The 12,245-nt window shown below is 35.8% G+C and overlaps 1 protein-coding gene across 53 annotated transcripts in view; it reads left to right on the plus strand.

Annotated features, from left to right (window-relative positions):
* RALYL (RALY RNA binding protein like) overlaps positions 1 to 12,245 on the plus strand; it is a 739,058-nt gene that overhangs the window by 142,032 nt on the left and 584,781 nt on the right. The gene's annotated exons all lie outside the window — the stretch shown is intronic.

Here is a 12,245-nt window from a genome sequence, read left to right on the forward strand (position 1 = left end):
GAAGGTATTAAATTCATAATTCTGTTACTAATGCTTCCCTCCTTCATAACCATAATAATGTGCTTTCATCAGGAAGCATCTTAAAATATATCATGTAAAGGCCCTTGTTACTCTATACCTCCCACACTGTCACTTCCTTGGTACCCTTAATTCTTTGAAGCTTGAATCATACTGTGTATATATACTTCATCCATGTCCAGCCTTTTAATAATCTTTCTCATTGTGGCATAAAGATTGTTGTACTAGTAGAAAAGAAGTTCCATTTCCCTTAAAGTTTCCTATGTCCACAATTCTATGAAACTTTTCAGTGGAGGTCACCAAGTCCACTTTTACAGATTTTCTGTTATGGGGAGAGGGCACCTCACAACTTGCTCTCAGATACTGTATTCAAAATTTCATTATCGTCAGGAAATATATCTCCTTTAAATCACCAAACCGTTCAGTTGCAGTTGTTCTCAATAGCCTAGTCAATTTCATTCACTGAATTATAGATTTCCCTGATTCTTAATAAATTTACTAATTATACTTTCCTCCTAACACCCTCTGCTATGACTGTAAAATCACTATTTATAACTGATAAAATTTGCCAAACTCAGTTTCCTGATGTACTCAACGCCTCTGGATTTTGACATTTCTTCATTTTAGCCACCCAGTGGCAATGCCAATTCTTCAAAAGTGTCAACTCTCAGAAATTCTCCACCTCTGATTTGACAGTCTCAAAGATAGACAAGGACTGCCTCTCCACTTTTTTGACAAGTGACAAACACTGAACTGACAACTGATAAATTTGTACCTGAATCTGGTCCTCCTGTATATTCTTTATTTGTCCACTTCTGTTGCTAGGTTAGAGATGAAGATAATTTGTTTCCACGCTGCCCAGTTAGTATCTGAGATGGCCTGACTCTTAGCATTCAAAAGTATCACTTTGCTAACACCATTCTACGTGGCTAGCAGATAACTTTTGGTCTGTGTCTCTTGTGGAAAATCCACAGAACAAGAATAGTTGTGTCACTTATTTATTAAAAAATAGGCTGGGTGCAGTGGCTCATGCCTGTAATTCTTACACTTTGGGAGGCTGAGGCGGTTGGATCTCTTGAGCTCAAGAGTTTGAGACCAGCCCCGTCTCTACCAGAAATATAAAAACTTAGCTGGGTGTGGTGGCCCATGCCTGTGGTCTCAGCTACTTGGGAGGCTGAGGCAGGAGAATCCCTTGAACCTGGGAGGCGGAGGTTGCAGTGAGCTGAGATCCTGCCACTGTACTCCAGCCTGGGCCACAGAGCAAGACACTGTCTCAAAACAAAGCAAAACAATAAGTAGTAAGCACTTACTACAAACTACTAGATTTATTCACTATTAACAATAAAATATACATATATGAGTATGCACATTATAGTGTCATATGTAATGTGTATGAATTACAATGCCAAAAATTTAATGAACATTCCACTTATTTATTCCTCTAATCCTTATACTGTTTTAGATAATATGTCTCTTATGGTCCATTTTAAGCTGTTTCAGATTCCAGCCTTTGTTGATTGCTTCTTTGCTAATGACCACTTACTGTCCCAATTGAACTGTTCACTGCTTCTCTAGGAGATAAAATTAGAGTATTTTCTCTTTGCATTTAGCTAACAGCTTAACTTTCCTGAATTGAAGTAATCCCTACAATGGGTAGACAGTTGAAATATTATTCGCTTAGTTGATGCCTCAAACATGTTAGCTATTTTTCTTTTAAAATAATATCATAACGAAAAGGAATATTTTTAAATAACATTATACCAGCCCAATAAATACATACGTTTATATTTCTGCAGCAACATGTTTCAAGATCAAAACATAAACATTAAATATATTTATGAATTACTACATTAAGTATATTTTTATATAACTAAGGTAAAATGCAATTATATGTGACAGATATCAAAATTAAAATGGTTTAAAAAGACAACTTATTTTCCCATATAAAAATCCATGTCTTTTTAAGGGTAATACTCAGAATTTTCATGTAGTATTTGTGTCTCAATCTCATGGGACAAAACTTATCAGCAAATCAGATTTTAAATGTAGACTTTATTCTAGGCATCCATGTACTTGTCTTGAAATAGGAAGTTCTATGAGGAAGGACTAAAGTGTTAATGGAGAATGGGGGGCAACTAGCTGTCTCTGCCTCTGATATTCATGAGATTTCTGTGGTCCTATTCCAAAAACACTTGGTTGACATGCTACCACATGTTTGATCCAGAGGATATAAAAATTAATGAAATATGGCCTTTACCTGGAAGATTATAAGCAATTTATTGTGAAAGGGGGTGGTAGAGCCTAGGAATGTAGTGCAGTGAAAACTCAGGAATGGAAATGATTAACTCAGTTTGGGGTGGGGAGGGGAAACAAAGCATTTCAGAGAAGATCAGGCACTTGTAAATGATTTTGAGTTTAATTAGGAATTTTTCAGGTGAAGTATAGGGTAAGATATTCTAGGTGGTCTGATACACAAGAAAACAAGCTCTATTATGGAATGGCACAATCTAGAGAACAGGCACAATTCCACAGTGGCAGCCTGTGGAGTCTGCAGAGGGAATGTGGGAGGAGATAGGTCTATAGAGGCAGCTTGTGGTGTGATGTAAAGGGCCATGTATGTTTGAATTTCAACGTATGGACCAGCGTCTTGCAACCTAGGGTCCATAGGCCATATCTGGCCTGCTACCTCTTTTTGGAAATAGTTTTGTTGGAACACAATCACATCCAGTTGTTTACCTTATGTATCTATGGCTGCGTTCCTGCTGCAATGGCAGACTTGAGTGGTTGTGACGGAGGTGGTATGACCCACAAAGCCCAAAATCCTTTCTATCTGGCCCTTCACAGAAAAAAAAAAAAATTGCCATTCCCCTCATCTGTCTCATCAATTGTTCTTGGAAGCTTTAAAGCAGTAGGAATTCATTAATGGGAGTTCTTTTAAAAAAGTGTGGAGTAACAGCTCATTTATTTTGAAGATCTTCATAGTTTTTTCTGTTTTGCTCTTTTTTAAATCTTTAATATAGACTATGCTTAGAAATTAGAATGCAAAAGAATCAGAAGAATATACACTATAAATAGTTTATTTACCACCAGTATAGAAAGCTAACTAAAAAATGATTAAAGAATTTGCCAAAAAGGTATTAAAGAATTTGCTTAAGGAGGGAAAGGAGGACCACACTTTCACAGTGAAAGCATGGATGGGCTTTGCCTGCTATTTTAATTAGTTTTTGAGGCTGTCTTTCATAGTCTTTCACTTAGAACTTATTACGGTAACATTAATTATTGGGAATTATATTGGCTGTATTCATTGTCATGTCAACACAATAGGAAGTGCTACAGTACACAAGTCTGGGCCATGACAACTACTGAACAACTGCAGAGAACATCTGGGTTAGCTCACCGTTTCTAGACCCAGAAATTTGTCAGTTTTAAGAATGACTTCTTTTCACAGCCAAGTCTTCCTAGGTTGTCTTAAACTTGAAGCCTTTTAAGTGCTCTTCATGAAGTTGTCATACAGTATGAATACACAATAAGCGTCATTCATTAACTCTACATTAATCTGACAGACATTGTACTTCACATAATTACTGCCTGCTGCATTACCTTTGTCCTTTGTAAGCTTTAATTTCACATGTCAACAGCAATCACTTTAGAGTGTTATATTTGTAGATACAGAAAAAGGCTTGCCATGGCAAATATGTACTTGAAAGGTAAGCCATAAACTCTTGCACTTTTGTTTGCCTCCCAGCTTATTATAGAGTTTTAATTTAATTTTATTTTTTATAATTTCAACTTTTAGACTTGGGGGTACATGTGCTGGTTTATTACATGAGTATATTGCAGGATGCTAAGGTTTGGGATACAAAAGATCCTGTCACCCAGTGAGCATAGTACCCAACAGTTAGTCAACCTTTGTCCACCTCTCTCCCTCCCCACTCTGGGAGTCCCCAGTGTCTATCATTATCAACTTTATGTCCATGAATGCCCAGTGTTTAGGTCCTACTTACAAGTGAGAACATGGAGTATTTGGTTTTCTGTTCCTGCATTGATTCGATTAGGATGATGGCCTCTAGCTGCATCTATGTTGCTGCAAAGGACGTGATTTCATTCGTTTTAAGGTTACATTGTATTCCACGGTGTATGTGTACCACATTTTATTTATCCAGTCTACCGGTGATGGACACCTAGGTTGATTCCATGCCTTTGTTACTGGGAATAGAGCTGTGATGAAGATACGAGTGCATTTATCTTTTTGGTGGAATGATTTATTTTTTGGGGATATATACTCAGTAATGGGATTGTTGGGTCAAATGGGAGTTCTGTTTTAAGTTCTTTGAGAAATCTCCAAACAGCTTTCCACAGTAGCTGACCTAATTTACATTCCCACCAACAGTATGTAAGCATTTCTTTTTCTCCACAGCCTCGCCAGCATCTGTTGTTTTTAACTTTTTAATAATAGCCATTCTGACTGTTGTGAGATGGTATCTCATTGTGGTTTTGATTAGCATTTCTCTGATGATTAGTGATGTAGAATATTTTGTCATGTTTATTGGCCACTTGTATGTCTTCTTTAGAGAAATATCTGTTCATGCTCTTTGCCCACTTTTTATGGGATTATGTGTTTTGTGCTTTTTGAACTGTTTAAATTTTTTATACATTCTGGTTATTAGACCTTTGTTAGATGCATAGTTTGCAAATATTTTCTCCCATTCTGTAGGTTGTCTGTTTGCTCTATTGATAGTTTCTTTTGCTGTGCAAAAGCTCCTTAGTTTAATTAGGTATTATAGGGTCCTGCAAGCTTGAGTTTTACTTGTATAATTTTTCCTGTTATATTGTTGTAAATAAGACTATTTGCTATTTTATTAATGAAATATAAAGCACTGTGATCTGTTATTAAATAAGCAGATTCTATTAGAACTTCTATATTTTTCACAATAATTTCCTATCAATTCCTTAGGTTTTAAATGACAGCCATACTATAGAACTATTTATTTTGCATATTGAAGATGTAAGCTAATTTGATGCCTTCAGATGCAGGCCTGAGTCTGTTTTCAGTGGAACTCTGTTTTATTAAAAATCATATTGAATAAATCCCTTCAAGACTTACTTTAAAAGCACTACCTTATAGTTAAAACATGAAAGACAAACTGGAAAATCAGAAAAGGGGATATTATTATGAATATGTAAAGAATTCATAAATATATTAAATAAAAATGTGTATCTCAATTGAAATTAAACAAAAACGTGGACATTCAATCCACAATGTAGATATAAGTAGCTAATAAATATGTGTAGAGATGCATAACTTCTCTGGAATAAAAGAAATACAAATTAAAAGCACAGTGTCGTATTTATATTTTTACTTACTTGATTGTAAAGGTGAGTGAAACATATTAGCTACAGTAGTAGCTAGGGCACATAAAAACATAAACACTCTACTGTTTATAAGAGCATAATTCTTAGTCTTTCTGAAGGAGTGTTTGACAATATATACTACATCTTAAATGTTATACTATTTACAAACTTATTTTAGTAATTTTGCAGGAATTTATGCTAAGGAAATGGTAGATCAAGGGCATAAAGATTCATGCATAAATTTGCTCATCATAGCATTGTTGATACTGTGAATACTAGAAACAACCAAAGTTATTATCTGCTGGGAGGTGGCAAAATGCTGTAGGATACACTCATAAAATGGATATTATTCAGCTACTATAAATGACAAATAAAAGTAAAACGTAGTTTCCTTTTCAAGTACTCTTCCCTTTCCTTCCATCACAGCATACTTTGGGTTTTCTTCTAATGCCTCTAGATTTTGCTTATCTTTGAAGGCCTGTTATCCCCTAACTGGCATTGAAATTTGGCATTTCACAAAATTCTACCCGACTCACTTCCTTTGTCCAGCTTTCTCCTTCAATCATACTTTTTCAAACTGTGGGTTTTGATAGAATCTTGAGACATTAAATCAATACAGTGGGTAATAATCAAAATTTTAGAAATGTATTAAAAAGAAAATAGCATGAGCAAGGGTGGTGTATTTGAAGAATTTCATGAACTTCTAGAAAACTGCATTATGTTCATTTGCACACATTCTAGGACTTGAGCCTGGCAGGAAAAGTAATGGAGAGCATTGTATGCTGTGAGAAATGGATAGCATTTGGTCTTGGAAATGATGAAGAAACACTGATATTTTAAGGTGAATTTTATTGAAGAATGTAATGTACTCAATCTCTTTATAAGCAGGAAGAACAGTGAATATTCTGCTTATTGGAAATGTATATAAGACATTCTAACATATCCTTAGCCTAAGGTGATATCCCAGCTCATCAATCATCTCCACAAAGACTGAACTTATGTCAGTAGTCTATCAGGGCCTATTAGAGTAGTTAGCCACCATAATATTGATCTTTGCACTTTTAGAGTTGTTGCATTGATAACAATTATCTTTGTCTTTACTATCAAGGCAATATCCAAGAGCATGTGTGTCTGAGTCACAGAGAAGTATAAGGCTCATCTTATGTTGTACAATTATAATGTGTAACACTGGAGCCACAGCATCAAATTACTATAATAATCCTCATGTCTTTGGGATTCAATAAAATCTGATGTTACCTTTTAAAATAATTACTATCTTAGACTGCTTACAGTCTCTGAACTTGGATGCCACATCTTTCTTGAAGCTGTCTTCAGAAATCCCATGAAAGTTAGTATTTCATTATGCATCCAGAAGTGTTGGTCTATGCTCATAGCCAAGGTCCACTGCAGGGATGAGGAAAGCATTCTGAATTTAAAAACAAAAACTTATCTGAAAGGTCTATATAAATTAGTTTTTTCCCAAGATATTTTTCATAGAAGTAAATTTAGCTATGACTAAGCAGTGCATAAAGCAGGTCAGTATATAATTGTCTTATTTTCTCATAAAAATGACAGTGTTTCCATAAATTCTGAAATGCATTAAACACATGCTGACTTATTAAGCATAATATTCTGTAATCAAACACATACCTTCTACCTATTCTTGATGGTTCAGAGTAAATATTGTAGTCATGCAAATCATAATAATTCCTTAAATCTCTGTAATGTATTATAGTAAACAGGCATATATTATTTGAATATTGTGCAATTATATGTTTATGTTACGAGGTTCTTAAAATAGCTGAAGTTATATGACCTGACATTTAACAACCCCATCCTGCCAACATTTTGTGGTCCCGAATCCTCTTTTTAATTTTTTCTCTGCCTTTCACATCTTACAGGATTTTAATTTTCTCTTACTGCTGCAGGCAACGTGGCTCCCTCAAATAATGCTCTTTTTCTTGTAAGAAAAAGATCATGACTTGTGTGTGTAGAAGAGAAGGGCATTTTACTAACGTGTCAGTCTGAAGTGTCATCTGACTCTTCTTTCAGCCTTATTGGTCTGATTGCCTCTCACATTACCTTTCTTTGTTTTGGAGGTATCCAGAGCTTGGTTCTTAAGAATCAGCAGAAAAAAGAAAGTACAGAGGACAGGAAAGAATCCATAGACTGAGAAAGGGAAATGTAAAGATTATACACAGTTTGACCCAATTGATTATTGTTTTATTATATATGCATATACAAGTTCTGACTGAAAAGACAGAGGACAAAGGGGCAGGGGAATTCTCGGAGCATGAGAAATGGAAATAGGAGGATTATACAAGGTTGGATCCTTTAAAAAGTCAATCTTACAGAAAACGAGAAACCAGTCAATGAAGGAACAAGGTAATAAAGAGAAATCTTATCTCCATTTATATTTTGTGAAGACCATTATTAATAATATTTCCCCTTTTTTATGTGTACAAGTTTATAATTTTTAAACTCCTACCTATTTTCCTTTTATTGCCTGCTGCCAGTGCCTGTCTTCCTAGTGACCTTTACAAGAGGATCCATGAGCAGAGAAAGACTAATGGAAGTATGCCCAGATAGTGGCAGCAAAGATGAGCCTCTGGAGGCCATTCTTTGGATTCAGAGAAAAAGAGCTGGAGGGGAGGTGACCTGGAAACTAAACTAAGATCCAGAAGTGAACCCAGACAATTAAATCTCACAGTGATCCCTGGGTGATTTCCCTAAAAACGTATCAGCAGCGCTGTTATTTCAAGCCACTTAAGCAGGAAAGCAGGCCTTACTCTAGTACATTCCTACGCTAACGAAGAGAATTTCCAGTATACAAGAATGCAGAAATACTCAAACATTTTACAGAAGAGTCATGATAGCTACTTTAGAATCCATTTACATTTGGTTATGTCCTACTTGTTATTTTGTTTTTGTTTTTTATTTTCCCTACCAAGAGAATGGTCTCAAGTTTAATGTTGAATTAACACTTGGAATAACCATTGCATGTTCTTACCTTATTGTGCTAATGTTGGACACCTCACTATATCATTTTAGTTGTTTGTTCAGTCTCACCATAAATATCATTGAGATAATGATGAAAGTGCCTATAAAACACCTGAGATGCACTAGGTGTTCTTTAATATTAGTGATCTGCTTGCAAATAAAACACACTGTGTTAGGCACAGTGAAAACTATTAAGATCAATTAAAATATAGTCTATCCCTTAGAAACATCTCAGTCTAATCGGGAAAATAATATAGGCATGTAGTCATAGTTAAAATGGAAAAATATTAGATAAAACTCTGATACAGTCTTTTTGCTTTGATTTTGAAATGACCACCCATTGCTCACTCCCAGTTCCCTCATAGCAGCCCAAAGGAATTTACCTTATCTTCTTTATCTGGCCGGGTCAACTTCTAATACAGGTGACTTGGCCTAGAAAGCCTGCTGACTCTCAATTTTCAGATATTCTGACATGTTCCCATTTGGATCAGATGAGCTTGGCTTTCTATAATTGAGTCACACAGCTTAGGTGAGAGTTGGAGACTGTAATCCCAGTTTTTGGAAAAGTCAATTGTTGCATATTTCCAGATGTAGATAATCCTCTTGAGTATATACCTCAATAGTAAATTAATTAATTTATTTATTTTAGAATTTGAACAGCAGGGGTGGGGGCAGCTTGAAAGAGTCTTATTTTAACTTGTTTTTTTCCCCCCTTGGGACACGGTCTCACTGTGTTGCCCAGGTTGGAGGGCAGTGGGGCGATCTCTGTTTCACTGCAACCTCCATCTCCTGGGATCAAGGGATTCTCCCACCTCAGCCTCCTGGGTAGCTGGGACTATGGGTGCATGCTACCACACAGCTAAATTTGTATTTTTTGTAGAGATGGGGTTTAGCCATGTTGCCCAGGCTGGTCTCAAACTCCTGGGCTCAAGTGATCCACCCACCTCAGCCTCCCCAAGTGCTGGGATTATAGGTGTGAGCCACCTCACCAGGCCATGTTTTAATACCAGGCCGTCTTTTTAAAAAATCAGTTTTAGCACTTTTATCTCACCATATTCAGTACTTTAAATCAGTCATGTATTTGATCATCAGGAAATGTACTGACAGGTAAAAAGTTGATAATTAAATTTTATATCAAATTATACTACATAACAATTTTATCAATTATGTATAATAATTTTATGTAAGCTATATAAATGAATTTATATAGAGAAATAAATTTAGAGCAAATTACAAACATGTTCTTTTATACATAAATGCTTCAGTATGTATTTCCTAAGAACAAGAACATCCTTTTACATAATTCTTAAATTATAAATATCATAAAATATATAATTAAATAATTACATATTAAAGTAAATTAAAATTGTAACTTAACATTTAATATTATGTGTAATTAAACTATGTAATTATAAAAATCAAGAAGTTTAACCTACAGTGTTTATATAAATTTTATTGGTTTTCCCTGTAATGTGTTTTGTAACTGTTTTCTTCCTAATCCACAATCCAATCCAGAATCATTTATTGCATTTAGATATCAATTCTCTTTATTTTACCTTAGTCTGGAACATAACCTCAGCTTTCTAGACCTTTACATTTTTTGCATTATGAAGAATTATAAAATATTTGATATTTTGTTCCATTAGCACAATCTCTAGTCCAGTCCCATTTAGAGTCAGAATTCCAAACATCTTCTAAATTAACCCTGTCCTCTTATCCATCTCAAGCCTACTTTGGACTGGATGCCTATCATGGTAAAGGAAGAGGAAGACAACGTCAGATAGTTTTCTGTTCTTTCCCTCTATTGTACTTTATCCTTCCCCTCACTGCTGTTTCTTTGTCGACTAACTCTTGTTTCTGACCTCCTTAGGGTTGGCAGAGGGGAGAGGCAGGAGGGAGGGTGAGCTACACATCACTGTTGTTGCAGTGGCTGGCATTGCTCATCTCTGGGTTTACTAAGTTCAAAGAATACTCTAGTGGAACATCTCCACAGCCTTCAGAGATTCCTCACAAGAGCTTCTGGTTGCAGCAGTCTCTCTCCTCTTGCTGGCCTCTTACGACATATTCTCAGCTTCTGAATGTGATGGGTGCATATCCATCTTCTCTCTGCTGATGTTTCCTTGCTCCCAGATGAAGCTGTCTCAGTCCATCAGCATACTGCATGGCCAGTATTCACTCGGTCCATGGGAAACAAGCATCTTTTGCTTTGTTGTCTTTGAAAGCACAGTTGCCTTCTAATATGGCTGTTTCTTTTCCCTCAACAGCTAAGCAGGCAGTTCCATTAAGGTTGTCTTAGAATCTTTGGGGACTATGAGTCAGGAACCTATTGTGCAAACTGTGGGGGACACAAATCAAATTTTCTGAATTTTGTATTGAATCGTCTCTCTTACCTGATTGGAGGGGAAGGAAAGCAATCTTCTCCCCTCCACTCCCGCAAGAAGATCAGAAAAAAAATACCATGCCATCATTTTGACTACCTCAAAGAGTGGTTTAATATTTCTAATATATGTGTTTTCTTACCTTTTTTTTTTTTTTTTTTTCCAAGACCTGATTTTGCCAAATCATTTGCTCATCTTACTTGGTGGGCAAACATTTCCGTTGGGAATGTAAGAGCATGTGCCCTGCTATTTTGGTTTCTGCTTTTTGGGCCTTCTGCCAAAACTGAGACAGAGGCCCTTGAAACATCCAGGATAGTGATTAAATCTAGCAAGTGCAATTAAGTAAACATTTCCAGCTCCTGTCCTCCTTTAGAGAAAAACAAATGAAGAAAAAGTTTAATTTCTAGAGGGAGATTTTGTGCATGAGCAGGACTAAATCTAATAATCCCAATAGTCTGGCATATGGCATACGTGGATATTCAGTGAGAATGTAAAATCATCCTGCAAGCTTTTCTGTATTTATTTTTGGGGATTGATTACAATCTCTATAGTACAGTGACTTCTCTACATGGATTACAGGAGACTGTTGTCTCAGTCCACAGTTCTTGGAATAGTCATATTTCTGAGCAACTGATTTTTTTTAACCTTATGGACACTGAATTGATTGTTTTTCACTTGTGATAACTGCTAGATCTACTGGAGCTGAGACGGTTTTTCACTTCTAGAAAATGTGCAAAACTGCAAGACACATGTTTGGTTTACAATTTCAACCCAGGCTTTTTTATTTTACTTTTTTTCATTTTTCTTTCTTCCAATGTCCTCACTTTTTTCTTGACATGTAGACTTGTATTTAAAAAATGATGTTTGGGAAAAAAGTAATGTATGAGTAAATAACTTTATTGGAAGGATAGCTATTAACACTTTCTTTTGTATCAGAGAAGGACCTCATTCCCAGTTTCTACATGCCTTAGGGATAGAATGGGATATTTTTAAAGTATGTAAAAGGATAAGTATTCTTATATATCCCTTTATAGTGGTTGGGGAATCATTTAAAAATAAAGCAACACAAATTGGTAATTGTTAGGGGATTGTCATGTGTTTGTTTTTTAAGATGAGAAGTTCCAAAGAAACAAGCCTTATTTCCTTTTCGTGGTATTAAACAGCTACTGCCAACAGTTTATACAGAGCCACAACCATCACTGCAGCTGACCCTGAAAACAGAAAGTGAGGGCCATCCATTAAGAGGTCCACGACTGCACTGAGTCTATGATGCGCAATGTAGTGGAGCAGAAATGATGCTTGCTGCACATTTAGTTGAGCCTAGGAGAGCAGGGCCCTCCATAGACACTAGTTTGAACATTGCTAGGTTTAAAATGGTTTAAATATAAGATGGAAATCTGCACACTACTAGTGTTTGTATTCATATTTTTTATTTGGAATAACCTGTCTGTGTATCTATGTATCTAGTTGCTTTAGTCTTCTCATAGAATTAGTATA

Source organism: Homo sapiens, chromosome 8 (genome assembly GCF_000001405.40).
Source record: "Homo sapiens chromosome 8, GRCh38.p14 Primary Assembly".
NCBI lineage: Eukaryota > Metazoa > Chordata > Mammalia > Primates > Hominidae > Homo > Homo sapiens.